This window comes from Homo sapiens, chromosome 11 (assembly GCF_000001405.40).
Source record: "Homo sapiens chromosome 11, GRCh38.p14 Primary Assembly".
In the NCBI taxonomy this organism is placed as follows: domain Eukaryota; kingdom Metazoa; phylum Chordata; class Mammalia; order Primates; family Hominidae; genus Homo; species Homo sapiens.
The window spans coordinates 3,874,060-3,897,878 of record NC_000011.10 but is presented as its reverse complement, the minus strand read 5'-3'; the positions used below and the strand labels follow the sequence as shown (position 1 = coordinate 3,897,878).

At 43.0% G+C, this 23,819-nt stretch overlaps 2 protein-coding genes across 23 annotated transcripts in view, besides 3 other annotated features; one reads left to right on the top strand and one right to left on the bottom strand.

Annotated features, from left to right (window-relative positions):
• STIM1 (stromal interaction molecule 1) overlaps positions 1 to 23,819 on the bottom strand; it is a 238,607-nt gene that overhangs the window by 195,332 nt on the left and 19,456 nt on the right. The window lies entirely within an intron of this gene.
• Positions 3,064 to 3,303: an enhancer, noted in NCBI's record as "active region_4318". NCBI's record gives its function as "activates an Ori minimal core promoter by ATAC-STARR-seq in GM12878 lymphoblastoid cells {active_cell/tissue: GM12878}" and the evidence as "EXISTENCE:reporter gene assay evidence [ECO:0000049][PMID:35858748]".
• Positions 3,681 to 3,897: a silencer, noted in NCBI's record as "fragment chr11:3915212-3915428 (GRCh37/hg19 assembly coordinates)". NCBI's record gives its function as "represses an EF-1alpha promoter that drives an FKBP-Casp9 reporter gene in an ReSE screen in HepG2 liver carcinoma cells {active_cell/tissue: HepG2}" and the evidence as "EXISTENCE:reporter gene assay evidence [ECO:0000049][PMID:32094911]".
• Positions 4,144 to 4,303: an enhancer, noted in NCBI's record as "active region_4317". NCBI's record gives its function as "activates an Ori minimal core promoter by ATAC-STARR-seq in GM12878 lymphoblastoid cells {active_cell/tissue: GM12878}" and the evidence as "EXISTENCE:reporter gene assay evidence [ECO:0000049][PMID:35858748]".
• Positions 4,325 to 5,513, top strand: PPIAP40 (peptidylprolyl isomerase A pseudogene 40). Its single transcript, XM_047428002.1, has 2 exons — positions 4,325 to 4,394; positions 4,957 to 5,513. The coding sequence occupies exons 1-2, from the start codon at positions 4,325 to 4,327 to the stop codon at positions 5,511 to 5,513; spliced, it is 627 nt and encodes a 208-aa protein (XP_047283958.1).

The following is a 23,819-nucleotide window of genomic DNA, read 5'->3' as shown; positions in this document are numbered from 1 at the left end:
ACCATGGAATACTATGCAGCCATAAAAAATGATGAGTTCGTGTCCTTTGTAGGGACATGGATGAAATTGGAAATCATCATTCTCAGTAAACTATCGCAAGAACAAAAAACCAAACACCACATATTCTCACTCATAGGTGGGAATTGAACAATGAGAACACATGGACACAGGAAGGGGAACATCACACTCTGGGGACTGTTGTGGGGTGGGCGTGGCGGGGGGAGGGATAGCTTTAGGAGATATACCTAATGCTAAATGACGAGTTAATGGGTGCAGCACACCAGCATGGCACAGGTATACATATGTAACTAACCTGCACATTGTACACATGTACCCTAAAACTTAAAGTATAATAATAATAAAATAAAAAAATAAAAACAAACAAACAAACAAAAAGCACTGTACAAATATATAAAGGTACTGCTATTCCACAGTTACCCAGAATAGACAGGACCCAAAAGTAGTAGAGAATACCTGGACTACTAAAATTACATCATCTTCTCCATCGCAATAAGCTTGGAGGAAGAGAAGAGAAATAGACCAGTATTCCAAGAGGCCAGCTTTCAGTCAATCCAATGAAGAGGCAGCAGAGGAAAGAAGAGCCTTTATCAGGTAGCATTTCCAGCAACTCACCAGAGCTGGCTTTATGGAACTCAAGCCAGATTTGGTTGCCACAAGATACAAAGTAACTTGACAGCTGCCCTCCTGGAAACAATTAACTTAGTAGTTTTTACTTTGACAGAATCTTGGGCCTGAAAGAAATATTTTGAAATCACTCTAGACAAAACCTCTACTTTATTGACAATAACAGGCCCTAAGAGAGCCTACATTTGTCCCCACTTGAGCAGGATATGGGAGAAAAACAGATTAGACAGTGATAATTATAATGGTTAACACTTAATGAGAGCTTATTATGTGTCAAGCTGGCTGCTAATTATTCAACATAGATTATCTCATCTTAATCTTCGCACAGCTCTATGAGATTGATTTTATAATAATTTCCATGTTATAGATGAGGAAGCAGGCTCAGAGACATTAAGTAACTTCCCCAAAGCACTATAGCTAGCATATAGTACTATAGTGATGAGACCCAGGCAAGCTGACCCCAAGGACCCATGCTCTTTATCGCTAGAGAAGCTAAGGTACCAACTTTTCTGGAAAGCCTTCTCTGACAATTTCCCCCACCACCAATTATTTGGGGGGCTCCCTAAACTCCCACTGCCCCATGTCTCTATCTATCCCTATGCACCATTGTCTCTGCCATAGCAGTATCACCAAATTACGTATTCCATGAGGGAAGAAATTACTAAATCTTATGCTTCCTTGCATCCCTTGTGACACTACCTAGTGTTGCATCGGCAGCTCAATCAAGATGTTTCAGAATAAACAACTATCGAGGAATATAGTATAATGATGAAAAGACATGGGTTCTGAAGTCAAATAGACTTAGATCTGAATCCAGGCTCAGCCACTTAGCTCTATGATCGTGAGTAAGTCAACTACTCTGAAGCTCAGCTTCCCTAACATTAAAATAGAGATTAAAAAATAAATTACCACAAAATGTGAGAAAACTAAACTAAGCACCTTACCCATTGCCTAGTACATAAAATAACTGTATTTACCATTCTCCTTTCCCCTTGTCCCACATATAATGGTAGAGAGAGAGCACTATTCCGGCCAGGTGCAGTGGCTCACGCCTGTAATCCCAGCACTTTGGAAGGCCGAGGTGGGCGGATCACGAGATCAGGAGATCAAGACCGTCCTGGCTAACATGGTGAAACCCCGTCTCTACTAAAAATACAAAAAATTAGCCGGGTGTGGTGGTGGGCGCCTGTAGTCCCAGGTACTCGGGAGGCTGAGGCAGGAGAATGGCGTGAACCCGGGAGGCGGAGCTTGCAGTGAGCCGAGATCGCGCCACTACACTCCAGCCTGGGCAACAGAGCAAGACTCCATCTCAAAAAAAAAGAAAGAAGAAAGAAAGAAAGAAAGAAAAGAAAGAAAAGAAAAGAAAGAGAGAGAGAGAGAAAGAAAGAAAGAGAAAGAAAGAAAGAAAAGAAAGAAGGAAGGAAAGAAAGGAAGGAAGGAAGGAAGGAAGGAAGGAAGGAAGGAAGGAAGGAAGGAAGGAAGGAAGGAAGAAAGAAAAAGAAAGAAAGAAAGAAAGAAAGAAAGAAAGAAAGAAAGAAAGAAAGAAAGAAGGAAGGAAGGAAAGAAAGAAAGAAAGAAAGAAAGAAAGAAAGAAAGAAAGAAAGAAAGAAAGAAAGAAAGAAAGAGAGAGAAAGAAAGAACACTATTCCCGGAACCCAGAGCCGAATTAGCTATATAAACTTGGTTAAGTGCATCTCCTTTCTGGGCTTTAATCTCTTCATTTACAACTCACAGGACCGTTGGTTTGAAACTAAATAAAATGTGGGTAAGTGACCAAAAAGTGCTACACAGATGGAAGGAATTTTTGTCATTCCACCTATCCGGCTTTTAAAATCAGCCCTGAACCACACTGCATAGAAATGTCTTGAAGCTCAAGGAAGAAGACCAATCTCTTGGAGGTTTAAAAGCTATAAAGGGAAGGAGTATTTGCACTGTCACTAGGAGAAGGAGCCAGTCCCACCAAGAAGCTGAGACACTGCCAAGTGGCTTTGCTCCAGGAGTCCCTAAGTAATTAAGGCCTTGCTCCCCTGCCCTGTTTGCCTGTGACCTCCACAAAGGCTAGAGAACACCAAGTGCTCCACAGCAGCTCTTCTCTTGGCCAGAGTGACAAATGTATTGCTGGCCAAGGATCAGCCAAAGCTATTGCTAAGAGGTTCCTGCCCTTGGCCTTCCTTAGAACAGGGTCGGCCGGGCGCGGTGGCTCACGCCTGTAATCCCAGCACTTTGGGAGGCCGAAGCGGGTGGATCACCTGAGGTCAGGAGTTTGAGACCAGCCTGGCCAACATGGCAAAACCCTGTCTCTACTAAAAAAAAAAAAAAAAAAAAAAATTAGCCAGGCGTGGTGGCACATGCCTGTAATGCCAGATACTTGGGAGGCTGAGGCAGGAGAATTGCTTGAACCCGGAAGGCGGAGGTTGCAGTGAGCTGAGACTGTGCCACTGTACTCCAGCCTGGGCAACAAATCGAGACCCTGTCTCAAAAAAAAGAAAAGAAAAAAGAACACGGTTAAAAACAAGATACCCTTCATTCTTTGTCCTGAGGTTATCAGCTCATGATTCCTAGGAATCAGCCCTAAACACAGCTACCAGGACCCTGGGTCTGGAACATGTCGGATGTGACTCAACTAAAGCCTGACCAGCCAGGCCCTTTGGACAACTGAAAGAGAACCTGTAGGCTATGGAATAAGGGGTAAGGAAAAGGGACCCATGCTCTGCTAAGAGCGTCTAGTCTTAGATGCTCCCAAGGTCACTTTTGGGCTCTTGTTCAGGCTGCACAGGCCCCAGGGACTTAACCACTTCCTTTGCTCATCAAAGCAGAACCCCCCACTCCACCCCTTGGGACTCCCGCCCCCAAGCCTGAAGCCTGGCTCTAGGGTAAGACAGTCCACCAATCTCTCCCTTCAAAAGTGAAAACATACGGGGCCCTTTTTGTTGTAAGAGTTTAACTGTTGGGTTGAGAAAGAATGTAAGCCAAAAACAACAAATATGAGGAAGTAAAAAAAAGTTTAAAACATATTACAAGTTAGTCACAGTCACTGTCCCCACTTCATAGTTCCTGGTTCCTGTCATAATTGGTGCTGTTAGAGAACAGCTACAATACTATAGTTTCCAAGACTTATTTTTAAACAATGGAACCCTCTTTTTCAAATATAGTTCAAATTGGCCTGGCGTGGTGGCTCACACCTCTAGTCCCAACATTTCGGGAGGTGGGCAGATCGCTTGAGCTCCGGAGTTCAAGACCATCCTAGGCAACATGGCAAAACCCCATCTCTACAAAAAATACAAAAGTTAGCTAGGCATGGTGGTACGTGCCTGTAGTCCCAGAAGAGACTGAAGGTTTAGATCAATCAACATGATGTAGACCTTATTTGGATATTGATATTGACCCCATCTCTACAAAAAATAAAAATATTAGCCAGGCATGGTGGCACATGCCTGTAATCCCAGCTACTTGGGAGGCTGAGGCAGGAGAATCACTTGAACCCGGGAGGCAGAGGTTGCAGTGAGCTGCGATTGCGCCACTGCACTCCAGCCTGGGTGACTGGGCTACAGAGCGAGACTCTGTCTCAAAAAAAAAAAAAAATGTTGACCCAGATTTTAACCAACCATATACAATTATCAACCATATACAAATAATATTGCTAATGAGCAAGAAAGTGGAAGTAAACATGTAGATATTCATGCACCAGGCTCTGCTACCAGTTGGTTATTTTGGCTGTGTACTTGTGTCCAAGGTCATTCACTCACTGGGTAGGTTTATGTCCTATGATGCCATCAACTGCCAGTCAAAGAACTAATCGGCATGAGCAAACTAGTGTTCACACAAAACTTGTATAATTGAAACCAAAATCAAAGACACTTTTATTGTAGGTAAATGTACAATTTCCATTAGGCTTGTTAAAATACTGAAAGCAATTTAAATTCATTTATTCATTCAAAAACAAATATTTACTGAGCATCCCTGTCCATCTATGCTGGCTAGGCACCAAGGACAAAATAAATAACACATAATAGCCTTAGGGGATTCATACAAACATCCCTCTATATTGTTTTCATGGATCCCAAATATTCTGAAGACCTTGCACCAACAAAATTGGGAGAGTACTGGAAGGGATGACATTTTTATTCCCTTATGAACACAAACAACTTATCAAAAGGCAGCCTGTTCCACAAAGAACCTCTCAACATTATAGCCCTAGCATTTTGGGAGGACGAAGTGGGTGGATTGCTTGAGCTCAGGAGTTCAAGACCAGCCTGGGCAACATGGCAAAACCCCATCTCTATTAAAAATAAAACATAAAAGTCTTTGCAGATGCTGCTGCTGCCGGGAGCCCCGTACTATCAGCCGTGGTTAACCCCACCGTGTTCTTCGACATTGCTGTCAACAGCGAGCCCTTGGGCCATGTCTCCTTCAAGCTATTTGCAGACAAGGTTCCAAAGACAGCAGAAAACTTTCGTGCTCTGAGCACTGGAGAGAAAGGATTTGGTTATAAGGGTTCCTGCTTTCACAGAATTATTCCAGGGTTTATGTGTCAGGGTGGTGACTTCACACACCATAATGGCACTAGCAGCAAGTCCATCTACGGGGAGAAATTTGATGATGAGAACTTCATCCTAAAGCATACAGGTCCTGGCATCTTGTCCATGGCAAATGCTGGACCCAACACAAACAGTTCCCAGTTTTTCATCTGCACTGCCAAGACTGAGTGGTTGGATGGCAAGCATGTGGTCTTTGGCAAGGCGAAAGAAGGCATGAATATTGTGGAGGCCATAGAGCACTTTGGGTCCAGGAATGGCAAGACCAGCAAGAAGATCACCACTGCTGACTGTGGACAACTCTTAATAAGTTTGACTTGTGTTTTATCTTAGCCACCAGACCATTCCTTCTGTAGGTCAGGAGAGCACCCCTCCACCCCATTTGCTCGCAGTATCCTTGAATCTTTGTGCTCTTGCTGCAGTTCCCTTTGGGCTCCATGTTTTCTCTGTTTTCTTCCATGACTAGCTGGATTGCAGAGTTAAGTTTATGATTATGAAATAAACACTAAATAACAAAAATAAATAAATAAAACATAAAAAATAAATAAAAACAAAGTACAGCCCTACCATGGAGATACAAGCTGCCCCACTGCTAGAAAATCAAGAAGAGATTTCTGAAATCAAGGTCTTTGTCTACAATTCAACAAACATTTACCAAATTTCTATTTTGTCCTTAGACACTCTGCTAGACAAGGGATCAGCAAACTGAGGCCCTCAGGCCAAATCTAGCCCAAACACCTTGTTTTTGTAAACAAAGTTTTCTTAGACACAGCTACACATGTCCATTTAAATATTATCTATGGCTGTTTTCCTGCTACAACTTGCGGTATAGCCCATCAAGCCTAAAATATTCACTCTCTGGCCCTCCACAGAAAATGTTTGCTCATCTCTATGCTACACTCTAGAAAGATGCAGAAATGTATCTTGATCTAGGTGGTGGTTACATAGATAAACACATTGGTAAAAATTCATCAAGCATTTAATTCATTTTATTGTATGTAAGCCATAACTCAATACTTCTTTTTTTAATGAAATGAAGAGTAACAGCCCCTGCCTTCTGGCAATTTAAAATCTGGTAGGAGGATATCAAAGTAAATAATTAAAATACAATAGTGAGCCTGCACAGTGGCTCACACCTGTAATCCTAGCACTTTGGGTGGCTGAGGTGAGAAGATCGCCTGAAGTCAGGAGTTTGAGACCAGCCTGGCCAACATGTTGAAACCCTGTCTCCACTAAAAATTAGCCGGATATGGTGGCATGTGCCTGTAGTAGTCCCAGTTACTGAGGAGGCTGAGGCAGGAGAATCACTTGAACCCAGGAGGCAGAGGTTGCAGTGAGCCGAGATCGTGCCACTGCACTCCAGCCTGGGCAACACAGCGAGACTCTGTCTCAAAAAAAAAACATGAAAAATAAAATTTTTTTTATTTAAAACAATAAAAAAAATAGAGTTTGGAATTAGAACATGAAATTTCTAATTAGGTTTAAGTCCTACTTGCACCAATTACTAGACACATGACTTTAGATTCTTCATCTACAAAATGAGAATAATAACAATATCTATGTCATTGACTGCTGTGAGAATTAAATAAATATGTAATTGTACCTGACATATAAGTATTCAACATACATTTCTTATCATAACAATTAGCATTATTATTAACTGTCTAATTAGTGGTGGACTTCGCTGTGGCTCAGAGTTCCTGTGACTTCCTGGTAGGTCCCATGGGACCCTAAGTCATATCAAAGTTGATTCTTTTACAAGTTTAGAGCTCAAGCTGGTATTGTACATAAACAGTATTTCATGGAGCTTTAGACTTCTGGCCCAATACCTGGAGAGGTGAAAGTCCTAAGGATGGGGTCCTATCCCACTGCTCAAAGAATGCCTTCTAGAAGCAAAATCAGGAAAGCACTACCTCTAGTTGACCTAGCTGATAATGAGATAAGCCATACTAGAAAATACACTTAAATACAATATGCTTTTCTTTTTTTTTGCAATAGAGTCTTGCTCCATCACCCAGGCTGGAGTGCAGTGGCGTGATCTCGGCTCACTGCAACCTCCACCTCCCAGGTTCAAGCGATTCTCCTGCCTCAGCCTCCTGAGTAGCTGGGATTACAGGCGTGTGCCACCATGCCCGGCCACAATATCCTTTTGAGCTTAAAACTTCAGTCAAATCTTCCATACCAGGCTGAGAAAACTGGTTCAGTCCAAGGGACTGGCCAGGAGAAGCCATGAGTCTCTGTCAGTGCTACTGGGTATGTAGCTCTAACAGGGGTGATACAGAAAAGTTCTTAAGACTTCTGAGGTACCATAAATTACCTTCAGCAATCTCTGTGACAAACTTAAAGCCTCTTGGATATCCAGCTCTATATAAGGACCAAAAGAGGATGATCACAGAAATCACAGATTTGGAAAAACTAGATGAACCTCCAGAGATCACCACTTGGACTGGCCCCTGCTCTCAGATTGCAAAACACCTATCATTAGGCTTGTTTTACAGATAATGCCACTAAGGTCCAGAGAGGGTAAGCGTGATGGCCTAGGTCAGATATCTAAGAGGCAGTAAGAAAGAAAAAAAGAATATCTAGTCTCAAGGAGTAAGCAATCTTGATGAAAAAGTAACACTCATGAAACTGTCGAAACACATGGTCAGGGAATAAGGGAGATCCCAATGAGGAGCTACAGGTATGGAAAGAAGGACAAGAGTTGAAGTCTCAGAGTAAAAGTCCCTGCCCAATGTACCTCTCACAAAGTAAAAAGGCCCGTCTTTGCTTAATATTTACTACCCTGTAATGCCTATTTACCTGTCTCCCCACTCAATAGTAATTCTTCCAGTTTATGTACCTTATATTATCCTTATCTATATTTTCAGCACCAAGCCTAGAAAACTGCATCTCCTGCAACTTTGAAAAGACTCAGACTAGCCCCACTCACCCAACAATACTAAAAACAAGGTTACCCTGTTAGGCATCTACCAAACCTAGAGGCCAGACCCTCAAAAAAGCGCCTAGATACGGCTAATAGAAAGTGACTTTAACAAGTAATTTAACCTCTTATTTTGTCCATCTCAAAGATATCAATAACATTAACAATCTCAGAAGACCGTATTAAAAATTAAGTATCCACGGTGAAACTCCATCTCTACTAAAAAATAAAAATAAAAAAATTAGCCAGATGCGGTGGCGTGTGCCTGTAATCCCAGCTACTCTGGAGGCTGAGGTAAGAGAATCGCTTGGACCCAGGAGGTGAAGGTTGCAGTGAGCCAAAATCGTGCCATTGCTCTCCAGCCTGGGCGACAAAGCGAGACTCTATCTCAAAAAAAAAAAAAAAAATTAAATATCTGTGAAAGCACTTAACACAGTACTTGGCACATAGTAGGCATTCAATGACTGCTAGCTTCCTTCTCACACCCCCTGTGTCTGGGTTCCTTTAAAATATAGTTTATTCCTTGGATCAACATTTATTAAACAACAAATATTTATTTGTTGGGCCTCAGGGATAAGATAATGATCTTGCCTTAGGTATCTCTGATAAAACCTCAGCATCTAGTATGATGACTGCTGTTGCCACAGCTGCCTGGCACATAGTAAGCACTCACTAAACAGGGAACTCCCAAGAACACTCCTGGATACAGACCACTGATGCATCACCTCTTTGTACAGGCCACTCCATCTGCTTTGTTAGCCCTAGAGGTGTGCAAGCACAAAAGAGATCAAGTCTCTGGACAGCAGCAGATCTATACATTTACAGAGCTCCACCCCCATAGTAAAGCCTGGCAGTCAAGATGACAAGAAAAACACAAGAACAATTCAGATGAGTCCCTCAAAACTGCATTAAAGACTACACGGCGGCCGGGCATGGTGGCTAACACCTGTAATCCCAGCACTTTGGGAAGCCGACACGGGCGGATCACTTGAGGTCAGGAGTTCAAGACCAGCCTGGCCAACATGGTGAAACCCCGTCTCTACTAAAAATACAAAAAGTCAGCTGGGTATGGTGGTGCACACCTGTAATCCCAGGTGGTGTGCACCTGTAATCTCCAGGCTTAGGCAGGAAAATCCCTTGAATCTGGGAGGTGGAGGCTGCAGTGAGCAGAAAGCACACCACTGCACACTAGCCTGGGCAACAGAGGGAGACTCTGTCTCAAAAATTCAAAAAAAAAGACTATATGGCAATGTTCCAAACTATACAGCCTCTCTACTTAAAACCTGGGTTATAATATTAAACTGACCACCCACCCTCACATTTCCTATACTGCCCCCTGAAAGAAAAGGGAAGTGCTTCTTCCTTTCAGTGCTGCTTGTTCAGAAAAGCTGATGTCCTGGAAAATGGCTGAGCACCTATCCTGGCAAATAGGATCTAGCAAAAGCTTGAACCCCATAAAAGCATCTCAATCATTCACCTTGCTGGCCTCCAAGGCTGAAAATAGCCCCAAATGAAAAACAAGCTATGTGAATACTTATCTAGTTTCATAGCAGAGACCTTAAGCTAGCTGAAGAGGACAAACCCCTCACTCCTTAACTCAAGCAGACCTAAAAGCCTCACCTGTTTCTGGCCCCATAGCAGCTGGCATAGCTCTGGCACCTCCCAGGCTTCATCTTTCAAAAACAGAAATGGAACAAGTGCAGAACAGGGAAGAGCCTTCTGCAGTCAGCCCAGCACTGCTTGAGGGGTGGTGGGGAGATAAAAAGATTCCTGGACACAGATGTCCTATTTTTTTTTTTTTTTTTTGAGACAGAGTCTCACTCTGTCACCCAGGCTGGAGTGCAGTGGTGCGATCTCCACTCATTGCAACCTCCGTGCCTCCCGGGTTGAAGCGATTCTCCTGCCTCAGCCTCTCAAGTAGCTGGGACTACAGGTGCATGCCACCACGTCCGGCTAATTTTTTGTATTTTTAGTAGAGGCAGGGTTTCACCATGTTAGCCAGGATGGTCTCAATCTCCTGACCTCGTGATCCGCCCGTCTCGGCCTCCCAAAGTGCTAGGATTACTGGTGTGAGCCATTGCGCCTGGCCACAGATGCCCTATTCTTTCATCAAATCTGAAAACGAAATGAAAGGCCCTAAAGCAGCCATACCCCAAAAGTAGCATTCTGTACCTCCGCTTCATCTTCTGGCAATAACCTTAACAGGTTTCTCTAACCAGGCCCTGTCTCAATGCCTTTTTAAAGGTAGGTTTACCTAATCCCAAGACAGAGTCAGTAGGTCGGCACTCTGATATATCAAATCCATCTCTGTCTATTACATACCTTGACCCATGCCATTACAGTCCATTGTTTCCAGGTTCACCTCTCACAATATATTAAGCACTTCTAGATGTATGGCCCAGGTTTCATAATGCCCATGTTTCCAGTTTTGCCCAGTGCAAGGCCAGGCTGAGAACAGATGCTTAAAGGTTTATTTGTTGCAGGGCAAAAGTGAGCAGGTACAGAAACAGGGAAGGAAGTATAAGGACAAGAATGTATCCTGCTTTACTCTCCCTAGAGGCCCTCACCCAGTGCATGCTGCCCTCTGGACCTAGACTCAGGCTGGGTTTCCCAAGCCTCCTCTCTTATTACCAAACTCACAGCCCTCTACCTCCTCTGACTGTGTACAATACTAGTCCCTGGACCCTTTTCATCCTAGATGTTTGTTTCACCTCTGGATATATTTGGAAACTCCTTGAGTATATGGCCCGTCTCTCTTCTTTTTTTTTTTCTTTGAGACAGAGTCTTGCTCTGTCGCCAGGCTGGAGTGCAGTGGTGCGATCTCGGCTCACTGCAACCTCCGCCTCCTGAGTGAAAAGTGATTCTACTGCCTCAGCCTCCTGAGTAGCTAGGATTACAGGCACCCGCCACCACACCTGGCTAATTTTTTGTATTTTAGTAAAGACGGGGTTTCACCATGTTATCCAGGATGATCTCGATCTCCTGACCTCGTAATCCGCCCGCCTCGGCCTCCCAAAGTGCTGGAATTACAGGCATGAGCCACCGCACCCGGCCAAATAAGACCTTTTTTTTTTTTTTTTTTTTTTTTGACACAGAGTCTCGCTCTGTCACCCAGGCTGGAGTGAGGTGGCGTGATGTCTGCTCACTGCAAGCTCCACTTCCCAGGTTCACGCCATTCTCCTGCCTCAGCCTCCCGAGTAGCTGGGACTACAGGTGCCTGCCACCACACCCGGCTAATTTCTTGTATTTTTAGTAGAGACAGGGTTTCACCATGTTATCCAGGGTGGTCTCGATCTCCTGACCTCGTGATCTGCCTGCCTTGGCCTCCCAAAGTGCTGGGATGACAGGCGTGAGCCACCGCGCCCAGCCAAGTCTCTCTTCTTATAGCACAAAATACAATACCAGCCTCAAGGAATTATACCAGTAGCTATTTACAGAGTTAAAAAAAAAATCAACTTCCCTCAAGTTTTTAATTGCTCATGTGTGAAAAGGTGAAAAGAATGTCTCACCAGATTGCTCCTCCCTCTTAGGTTATCCGTCTTTCTCTATTTTATCATTGGGTTCCCAGTGAATTTTCTATAAAGAATTCAAGCCAAATGGTTTAGCACCTATATTTGGCCTATAATGTGTGATATTCAAGATATCATCGGAGATAACAATTCATTCTTTATATCCCACATCCCTCAGACTATGGGAAATGACTCACCCATGCCAATCCTTAATCAAAGGCAGGAAAAGTCCCCTTGAGCCAAAGCAGGACAATGCTATATCCTCAACACCTTCATTGATGGGCCCTTGCCTACGATCATGCTCAAACTCACATCGAAAACTGGAATGGGGCCACGCACAGTGGCTCACGCCTGTAATCCCAACACTTACAGAGGCTGAGGCGGGAGGACTGCTTGAGCCCAGGAGTTTGACACCAGCGTGGGCAACACAGTAAGACTTTGTCTACACAAAAAATAGAGAAATTAGCCAGGTGTGGTTGCTCATGCCTGCAGTCCCAGCTACTCAGCAGGCTGACGTGAGAGAATCACTTGAGCCAAGGAGGTCAAGGCTACAGTGAGCCATGATTGTGCCACCATATTTCAGCCTCCTATACAACAGAGCGAGTCCCTGTCTCAAAAATAAAATGATAAAATAAATAAAATAAAATAAAATAAAACTGGAATGTGTCCACCTTTGTGAGCTGAAGTACCGGGAGAAGACTTCCAATCAGAAAAGAAAATTATAATTATCTACAATTGTGTTAAACCAATAGTTCTCAGCAAACTCAAATTATGTATGTTTGGCAGAGCACTATGGGTCATGCCTGTAATCCCAAACTTTGGGAGGCCAAGGCAGGCAGATCACTTGAGCCCAGGGGTTCAAGACCAGCCTAGGCAACATGGCAAAACCCTGTCTCTACAAAAAATAATAATAATAATACAAAAATTGGCCAGGCTAGCACACGTCTATAGCCCCAGCTACTTGGGAGGCTGAAGTGGAAGGATTGGTTGAGCCCGGGAGGTCAAGGCTGCAGTGAGCCATGACTGCACCACTGCACTCCAGTCTAGATGACAGAGTGAGATACTGTCTCAAAAAAAAAAAAATTATCTATGTTTATATTGAAATATAATTCACATGACATATAATTAATCCTCTTAGATTTTATAATTCAGTGATTTTTAATATATCTATAAGGTTGTCCCATCATCACCACAATCTAATTTTTCAGAATATTTTCATTACCCCAAAAAGAAACCCCATATCCATTAGAAGTAACTTCTCATTACCCTCTCCCCCCACACCCTGGCAACCACTAATCTACTTTCTGTCTCTATAGATTTGCCTATTCTGGACATTTCATGTAAATGGAATCATACAATATGTAGCCTTTTCACTTAGCATAATGTTTTCAAGGTTTATCCATGTTGTGGCATCTATCAACACTTAACTCCATTTAATGGCTAAATAAGATTCCATTATACAAACATACCCCTTTTTTTTTTTTTGAGATGGGGTCTGGCTCTGTCACCCATGGTGGAGTGCAGTGGCGCAATCTCAGCTCACCACAACCTCCACCTCCCAAGCTTCTTGGGGACTGCTAATTATTACTCCCTTGGGTTAGGTTCAGACATAGCAAGAAATAAGGCTGAACTGAGAGAAAGAGTGGTCTCCACAGTCTACCTCCTGGAGGGCTAAACAGAACAGGCCCCAAGTTCCCAAGGCTATTCCCTTTTGCCAGTGTACATGGAGAACCACTTGGGGCATGGGTTTCACTCTCAGCCCCTGGATCAGGACTGCATAAGTCAGTGTCCCAGGCAAGCTAGCATGACAGCTCCCAGCAGAAACCAGTTCCTTTTGTCTTCAAAGTGCTGGAAACATCTGGCTGGCTCCCACACTGCTCACTCATCCTCTCAACTTGGGAAAGGGAAAGCCAAACATCATGCTGTTCACCATACAACAAAGCACTTTCAATGTCCATTAACTCACTGAATCCTTACAACACTCCCACAATACCAGGGCAGGGACTCTTGTACCCATTTTATAGACAAAGAAACTCCAACCTTGAAATGTTAAGTAATTTTGCTAAGTAACAAAGCACAGAGATAGAAGAAGAACCCAAGACTTCTGATTCCTGATCCAGACCCTTGTGAGGTGATTTTAAGGGCCATCCAATGAGAGGCCTTCCCCACCCCTCTACCTAAAATAGCACCCCCATCACTCTCTAATCCTTTGCCCTGCTTACTTTGTTTTTTAGCACTTATGATTACCAAGCATTATATTACTTATCTCCTTGTTTATTGCCTATCTTCCTACCTGAATATAAAACAATAGGGACTATTATTCTTTACTGCATACCAAGCAGAGTTTCTGGCACACAGTAGGGTCTTAAATATTTATTATATGAATACATCTAGTACAGCCCGCAACTGATCCCTCCTACAGTGATGGTGTCTGGTGTCATTACTATCAAGTAAGTCTTCAGTCTATACTCAAGTTTCATTTAGCATTTATTAACATCCACTAAATGTCAGGTCATATGCTAAATGCTAAAGACAGAAATGAATCAAATATAATCCCTGACTCTAGAAAATATAACTTAGTGGTTTGAAGCAGACAATAAAAAATTGTCCCATTGGCTGGGTGTGGTGCCTCATGCCTGTAATCCCAACACTTTGGGAGGCTGAGGCAGGTGGATCACCTGAGGTCAGGAGTTCGAGACCAGCCTGACCAACATGGTAAAACCCCATCGCTACTAAAAATACAAAATTAGCTGGGCGTGGTGGCGCATGCCTGTAATCCCAGCTACTCGGGAGGCTGAGGCAGGAGAACTGCTTGAACGGAAGGCAGAGGTTGCAGTGAGCCAAGATCATGCCATTGCACTCCAGCCTGGGCAACAAGAGTGAAACTCTGTCTCAAAAAACAAAAACAAACAAACAAAAAAAATGGTGTCCCATTATAGAGATGTTCATAGAAGGGAGCACCTAACTAGTGGAAGAAGGAGGAGAAACCAATTAAGAGAGCTTCTCGGAGGAAGTGACATTTGAGCTGAGTCTTGAGGAACAATTATAATTTCAACCACCAGAGAAAAGAAGGATATTCTAGACAAAGAGAAAAGCATGAGCACAGGCTGAGACATGAAAGAGCTAGGTATATTTAAAGGCTAGTGGGTGATTTTTAAGTCAAGAAAGGTTTGCCCCAAAATGTTTTTAAAAAAGATAAATGTCTAGTATCCAGAATATATAAAGAACTCTTACAATAACAAAAAAACAAACAACTTAGTTTTAAAAAATAGACAAAGAACTTAGACATTTCTCCAAAGAAGATATACAACTAACCAACAAGTACATGAAAAGATGATCAATATCATTAGAGATTAGAGAAATGCATGTCAAAACCACAATGAGGTACTATTTCATAACCACAGTGAGGCACTATTTCATATCCACAAGAATGGTTATAATAAAAAAAATAACAAACTTTGGTGAAGATGTAGAGAAACTAGAACTTTAGTCCATTGCTGGTATAAGTAAAAAGTGGTTCAGCTGCTGTGAAAAAGAGTTTGTTGGTTCCTCAAAAACTAAACAGAATTACCATATAACCTAGCAATTCCACTCCTAGGTATGTACCCAAAAGAACTGGAAACAGGTACTCAAACAGGTACATGTACACACATATTCTTTTTTCTTTTTATTTTAAGTTCCGGGGTACATATGCAGGATGTGTAGGTTTGGTACATAGGTAAACGGTGCACACAAATTCTTAACAGCACTATCCACAAGAGCCAAAAGGTGGAAACAGCCCAAATTGCCCACGTGTGGATGAATAGATAAACAAATTATTGTATAAACATACAATGAAATATTACACAGCCATAAAAAGGAATGGAGTGGCCAGGCATGGTGGCTCACACCTGTAATCCCAGCACTTTGGGAGGCTGAGGTGGGCGAATCACCTGAGGTCGGGAGTTCAAGACCAGCCTGGCCAACATGGAGAAACCCCGTCTCTACTAAAACTGCAAAATTAGCTGGGCGTGGTGGCGCACGCCTGTAATCCCAGCTACTCGGGAGGCTGAGGTAGGAGAATCGCTTGAACCCAGGAGACAGAGGTTGCGGTGAGCCAAGATCGCACCATTGCACTCCAGCCTGGGCAACAAGAGCGAAACTCTGTCTCAAAAAAAAAAAAAAAAAAAAAAAAGGAATGAAGTGCTGATACATGCTACAATATAGATGAACCTCTAAAACTTACTTTCCCTTATGCTAAGTGAAAGAAGCCAGACACAATACATCATATGATCCCATTATAATCATATGATCAAGGCCGGGCGCCGTGGCTCACATCTGTAATCCCAGCACTTTGGGAGGCTAAGGCAGGTGGATCACCTGAGGTCAGGAGTTCGAGACCAGCTTGGCCAACATGGCGAACCCCGTCTCTAGTAAAAATACAAAAATTAGCCAGGTGTGGTAGTACATGCCTGCAATCCCAGCTACAGGCAGGAGAATCACTTCAACCCAGGAGTCGGAGGCTGCAGTGAGCAGAAAGCACACCACTGCACTCCAGCCTGGGCTACAGAGCGAGATTCCATCTCAAAAAAATAAATAAATAAAAATAAAATAATCGGCCGGGCACGGTGGCTCACGCCTGTAATCCCAGCACTTTGGGAGGCTGAGATGGGCAGATCATGAGGTCAGGAGATGGAGACCATCCTGGCTAACAGGGTGAAACCCCATCTCCACTAAAAATACAAAAAAATTAGCCGGGTGCTGTGGCGGGCACCTGTAGTCCCAGCTAATCGGGAGGCTCAGGCAGGAGAATGGCATGAACCCGGGAGGCGGAGCTGGCAGTGAGCCGAGATCATGCCACTGCACTCCAGCCTGGGCAACAGAGAGAGACTCCATCTTGAAAAAATAAATAAATAAAATAAAATAATCATATGATCAATAGATCATATGATTCCATTTATATGAAATATCCAGAATAGGTAAATCTATACAGACAAAACACAGATACACAGATTGATGGCTGCCAGGGGAAAGGGAGAGGGGGAATTAGGAACAACTGCTTAACAGGTATGGATTTCCTTAGGGTTGATGAAATAGTTTTGAACTACATTTATGATAGTACTAAATCCCACTGAATTGTACACTTTAAAATGATTAATTTTATGTTATGTGATTTTCCTTTTTTTTTTTTTTTTTAATAAACGGCCTACGTCACCATACTCTAAAAGGAAAAACTCAAAAGTCACTGTTTTCCCATCCAGCTGCCCCTTCCTGCCTCTTCAGGAAGCCTGCTCTCCCATCCTGCAGCCGTCCAAACCTGCCATTTTAGCAATGAGTTATGCTCCACTGGTCAGATTTTCTAGTCATTTCCTGTGTGTCAGGCAGTCTAAAGTCCCTAGTGAGAAAGCAAGCTCCCTTTTAAATAGGATGTATTGGTCCATGTATCTCATCCTCTTTCCAGACAGACCAGGTCATGGTTGAGGAGTAAGGGAAAGGGGCTGACTGACCTCTTTTGAAGCAGCAATTTGGAGTGGTGCTAGCAGAGAGCTAGAGGCTGGGTGACCAGGGAGGCCAGAGATATAACCATCGCACGATGGTCTGAATATGATTTATTTTTCTTTTGGGGAGGGGCAGGGGTTTAGGAAGAGTAGGGAAGTATTTAACAAACAGCTTTGGAGCAATATCTGGTTTCAGAAATAACTAAAATCTCTCAATAACAACTGTGTTCTTGACTTTCCAGAACCAACAATTCTAATGCCAAAGTTCTTCAGAAAAACATGAAAGATTTTACTCCCAAAGTTTGACACTGAAACCATCCCCCAGCTGTCCACAAACTATTTTCATTGCCCTGAGAAGGCACTGGAAACTTGGGAGACGGGAGACTTTGGGAACAGCATTCAAGCTCATCCTCTATCAGCCAATAGCTTCCAAGGTAGTCATCACTAATGCTTGGAAATCAAGACACGAGAAGTAACCTGCAAGGGTCACAGGTGCTAGCAGGCTTCTAATGCCCTTCAGGCACCTTAAACTTAAAGTAGTATTGGCAATAAAAACCAACAACAAATACTGTTTTCACAGGCCATTATGTGGCCCTTAAATACATTCTCTCAGTGGCCCTAAGGCTCAGAGAGATTAATGATTTACTAAGGGTCATGAGGCCAGCAAACAACAGCAAAGCCAGATTTCAAACTCTGGCCTGACTGCTTGCAAACTCATGCCATTGCCACAACACAAAAGTGCCCAGCACCACACATCCTGTCCTGCTTCCTGGATCTCCATGAGAGTGTGTTCTGACCATTCATAATAATCTAATGCTTCTTAGTTCAACATTAATCCTAATAGCCACAGAAAGAGAATTCTCTCGGCAATAGCAACCCAGAACACTGATGCCACTGAGAAGTACCTAAGATTGATATCTGGGCTACTTTACCATTCACTGGGTCACCAACCAAACCTCCTAAAAACCCACAAGGTAGATGTTCTGCCTTGAGTGACCCTTGAAGGCAAGAGGGGAAATGGTAAGGAAAAAAACAAATGTAGAAGAGCCTGCAGATAAAATTCTAAGCCAGAAATTAGTAAACCTGAGATATAGTTTCTGTTCTGCCCCTAATTACATATATGACATTGGGAAGTCACCTGCTTTCTTTGAATTTGTTTACAATAATATGGAGATAACAATCCCCTCCTGTCCCACCTCACAGAGCAGCTGTGGGCATGATAAGCAAAAAGACAGGTCTTAAACAGTGGAGTGATTTGTAAAGTGCAGAGCACAAACCAATCTGGGGAGTTATTATAATATGACTACCATCAGTTGGCTGGGGAGAAGATTAATGTCCACGAAACCAACAGAAAGTGAAACAGTAGATAATTAGGTGACAAATTATATGGTACAGACTAAGAAGATTATAATCTAGAAAGGGAAGTCCCTGGAATAAGTCAGAAAAACTACAGAGAAAAGAATGAACAGGATTGGAGGGTTTTGGAAAGCCATAGCCAGAGGAAAATGTATAGCTAGGGAAAAGAGGTATGAAACGCTGGACGCAGTGGCTCATTCCTGTAATCCCAGCACTTTGGGAGGCTGAGGCATGTGGATCACCTGAGGTCAGGAGTTCGAGACCAGCCTGGCCAACATGGTGAAACCCCGTCTCTACTAAAAATACAAAAATTAGCTGGGTGTGGCGGTGTGCACCTGTAGTCCCAGCTACTCGGGAGGCTGAGGCAGGAGAATTGCTTGAACCCGGGAGGCGGAGGTTGCAGTGAGCCAAGATCACGCCACTGCACTCCAGCCTGGGTGACAGGGCGAGACTCCGTCTCAAAAAAAAAAAGAGGTATGAAGAAGAGGAAAGCAACAGTACTAGAGGAGATGCTGTGTGTTGGGATGTCAAGGAGGCCACAATGGGTAGGCACGATAAGGCCAAACTGTCGGGGGAAGATAGGCAGCCGAGCAGCTGGGGCAGGACGCAGCTAGCAATAGGAACCCACTGCAGCTAACATGAGCTATGGGGAGGGCAGAGCTAGATTTTACAGCAAGCATTTATTGGGCACTAACAACATGGTAAGCACTGTCATAGGGAATGGTGACACAAAGATAGGTAAGACATAAGCCCTGCTCTCATGACTCTGCATTTGAATCCCAGCTCTTCCATTTGCAGAGCAACATGGACATCAAGGGAACACATTCTGTAATGAGACAGACCTGGTTTCAAATCCCTGCACTGACACTGCCAGATGAGTGACCTTCCACAAGTAACCAAAGCTCTTTAATTCCCAGTTTCCTCATTTGCATTGAAGAAGTAATAATTATCTTTCATAGGATCAAAAAAAAAAAGAAACTTCATATGTGCTTTTCAGGCACATGATAAATAATAACTTATTATCATTAACTAGCTTTGTGACCTTGGGTAAGTTGCTTAACCTCTCTGGGCCTCAGTTTCATCATATGTAAAACAAGACTAATTATAGCTACCTCACAAAGTTGTTGTGAAGATTAAAGAAAATTATTGGTGTAAAGCACCTAGCCTAGAGAAACAGCTCAGCAAAAGTTCCCTTTTCTTCCCTCTGTCTCTTCGTTCCTTAACCCTCCTCCTTTCCCTTCTCCCCAGACCATATGTGAGATCTCCCCTACAGCAATGCTCAGCTCCCGAAGGAGGGCAATGAGGACACAGCCAGGACCCTTACTGATTCCACTCCTAGAGAGCACCAGGCCCATTTAACCCCAAACCAAGTCTAACTTACCAACGCTTGACCACTCCTATCCAGGAACATGTTCTTTACTCACTTCTCGCCTAGTGACTTCAATTCACAAGCAAGAAGTCCTTTTTACCTGAAAGCCAAACAATTCCTCCCTGCTTACTCATTCTCCCAAGAAACTAACTAGAAGAGAAAGCATCAGTGTCTAAAATGCTGATCAGAGAGAGGAGACTGGTATTCCCAGTGCTTTAGAATGATAGGATAAAAGGAGAGGTCCTGGGCACCCTTGCTGGGAGACAGATAAATCCTACTGGCCCTTGTGCATATATGACAAGGGCAGGCAAACCTGCTGCAACTCCCAACAGTTCTGGGAATGCCTGAGAACAAGGCCCTCGGCCTGCTAGAGTTACTTAGGCATGAGGGAAAAATTAGGTATTCACTAGTAAAGGTCAACTTATAAATACCTGATTAACCCAAGCAAACACACTCTGCTCTACCTTATGTGAGAATTTACAACTGATCCGGAACAGAAGTCAAGCTGAGTACACGTTTTCAAAGCTATAACTAACAATTATTGAGGTATTTGGCAGGGTGGGGATAGGGGATTGACGGCTGGCTACAAAAGCCCATGCAAATCAGCTAAGTCCAGAGTCTCCACTGAAAGCTGCTTCTTCTGGAACAACAACCTCTGAACAAACCTACAGTGTAAATGTGACCTTGCTAGAAAGACAAGAGCCAGCCCTCCCATGAAGACCATGGGAAATGTAGAGAAGCAAGGCATACCAATTCCAAGATGCTTGCTTAATCCCAGGGAGTTCCTTTTGTGAGGAAATAATAATAATAATAATAATAATGTTGTTCTGTAGGAAGACACTAACAGATCAAGCCTGTGAAGCCATTGTCTAGACTCCCCCAGGTAGCTCTAACTGCTTTTTCCCCTGCACTCCCATCACACTTTGCAAACCATCAAGGGGAAATGAAAGAAACTATCTTTCCTTAAGCGCTTACTGTAAAGCCTTATAGAAAAGGTTTTAATCTTTTTTTTAAACAACTCTCCCAATAACCAGCTAATCCTAGTCCTATTTTATTTATAAATGAAGAAACTGAGCAACGCACTCAGTAAAGGGGCTGGGCAGAACCCAAATATGAACCTGGTCTGTCTGATTCCAAATCGTAAACTTTCTTTCAACAAATATTTTTTGAGAGCCTACTACATGCCAGGCACTACTCCTGGTGAATACATAACAGTGCATGAGACAGACAAGAACCCTATCTTTATGGGGTTTTCATTCTAAACCAAACTGCCTCCATATTTTACCACATCATGTATTTAGTAGGTAGATATCAGTATTTCTTTATCTTCAACCAGGCAGGACTCAATAAACATGTATTGAAGGCCAGACCCAGTGGCCCATAATTCCATCACTTTGGGAGATGGAGGCAGGAGGATCACTTGAGCCCAGGAGTTCGAGACCAGCCTGGGCAACACAGTGAAACCCTGCCTCTACAAAAAATAAAAATAAAATCAGTCAGGTGTAGTGGCATGTGCCTGTAGTCCCAACTAATCAGGAGGCTGAAGCAGGAGGATTGCTTGAGCCCAAGAGCTCAAGGTTGCAGTGAACCACGATCATACCATAGCACTCTAGCTGGAGTAACAGAGTGAGACCCTGTCTCCCAAAAACAAAAGAAATGAATGTAGTCCTTTCCCTCAACTCACAGGAATTCCTCTCAGCTGCTACCCAAACAGCATTCAACTGTTTATCCATTAATTTTGCATCCTTCTTCCTACCTAGGTCTGTTTATCCATTAATTTTGCATCCTTCTTCCTACCTAGGTCTAGCCATATCTTAAACCAAAAGCTTCCTTACAGTGCTAGCAAATTGGCTCCAGCCACCCACTAAGTATGACAATAATAGTATTTCATAGTTTACAAAAGACTTTCACATACATTATCTTACTTAACCCTCATAAAATTAAACAAGATAGGTATTATTCCCTTTAACACATAGGGGAACAGACAACCAGAAAGCTTAGTTTCACCACTGAGTAGAGGAACTGAGCCACAGCACAGTTCTTCCTAGTCCCAGAATGCATTATTTGCCCCTTCTCCTAAGAACATTTCATATCTATTCTCCATAGCACAGAAACCAAAAGGAATGTTGCGTCCTTATTTAGTTCAATATATTTGACTAAGCTATTTCAGGTTGCCTATGTTATCAAAACAATACAAAGCAAAAATGCATGTTTCATCCTATTGCAGTATTTATTTTGATTATTAATATTTTATGAGTTCTTCCACTAAAGGCGTTTTAACTATATTTTGTTGTTGGTTTGATTTTTTTGTTGTTGTTTTTAGGGGTTTTTTTTTTTTTGAGACAGGGTCTCACTTTGTCACCCAGGCTGGAGTGCAGTGGCATGATCTTGGCTCAATTTAGCCTCGGCCTCCCAGGCTCAAGCAATCCTCCTGCCTCTACCCCCAAGTAGCTGGGATTACAAGCACACACTACCACTCCTGGCTAATTTTTTGTATTTTTTGTAGAGACAGGGTTTCACCATGTTGCCCAGGCTGGTCTCAAGCTCCTGAGCTCAAGCGATCTGCCTGCCTCGGCCTCCCAAAGTGCTGGGATTACAAGCATGAGCCACTGTGCCTGGCCTATATTTTGTTATGTTCCAATTTGCCATTGAAGTTTAACTTTTTATGTTAAACACGAAGTATACACTATATGCACAGAAAAAGGTCTGAGATAGTTTTTCAATTGTTTTCAAGTCAGTGAGAAAAATAATTCAACTTATAGGGATGCCTTTACATGTGTTTGCCTTTGCCAGGAAAGCCTTTATCCTGTGAAGTGACATACACTGGTAGGCAGAGGTTGCAGAAAGTATAAGCCCCAAATGCAAGGTTAGTATCTTGGCATGCTCTTTGCAAAAAACCAACCAAACAAACAAAATCCAAGCACCATGGTCAACAGGCATATTCCAGCAACCAAGACGAAGCTGAGGGTTTGTCATATCACTCCAGTCCAGGGAGCATTAAGCCTAGCTCTGTAGGTTGCAAACCAACTACAAGAAAAACACAAACAAACAAACAAACAATAAAAGAAGAGGAAGAGGAGGAGAAAATAAAAATTAAAAAAAAAAAAAGATACAAACTCTAAAGCCAGATGTCCAGGAAAATAACAGCACATTCTGGGCAAATCAGAAAGACACAGGGGGCCTTATTTGAAAAACTAGCCAAGGCTTTGCCCAAAACCCTTACCCTTGCCAGTCTATCATAACACCTGAAATTCCAGCACTATAACTTCATTCTGTTCTTTAACAAATACACCCTGAGTACCAAATCTTGCAGGAGCGGGAATAGTCAGATGAGGGAGGTAGATTCATGCCTCAGTGACTTAAATATCAGACAGATTAGCGAGAGGCAGAGTAGTCTGAAAAAGCAGGGCAAGAAGTCATTCTGGCTAAAGGAACCGAAGAAGACTCTCTGGATATGAGAACTTAGCGGCTTAAAAGGATAAGAGGACATGAAATCATTTGTGCTACCTTAGGAAAGTAACCTGAAGCTAGGGAGAGACCTGGATTTGAATACTGATTTAGTTGCTTACAGCCTGTAATGACAATCAAGCAAATTATTTTCCTTTTCTGAATCTATTTCTTCACCTGCAAAATGGGCATTATGAAGCATACCTCAAAAGATAGGTGTGTAAAACACTAGCCCTGATCTGGCAAATGGTGGGACTTAAATATCTTTTCCTTATCCCTTTTTCTGGTTAGAAGAGGAACACATACCAGAGAAGGATACTCCAGGGCAATAGAAATGACTTGCCAGCTCACAGAGCAAGGCCATTTGAGGGCTACTAGAACAGACAATCAACCTGAAAAGACACCTTAAGAAGTGCAGAAACCCAGGCCACATCCAAGTCCCAGCCTAAATTTCTCCCCACCATAAAATGTTTGGCAGTCCATTTTGGACAAACATTACATCACTGTAGATTTAGTAGATTAGGAAATGGAAACCCACTCCTCAGCTCCCCAGGAAAA

Bases quoted from the DNA above. Each gene is read 5' to 3' on its own strand.
- PPIAP40 (XM_047428002.1), top strand. From the start codon at position 4,325: ATGCACCAGGCTCTGCTACCAGTTGGTTATTTTGGCTGTGTACTTGTG. The intron at 4,395-4,956 runs GTAGGTTTATGT...AAGTCTTTGCAG, and splicing joins CAAGGTCATTCACTCACTGG to ATGCTGCTGCTGCCGGGAGC.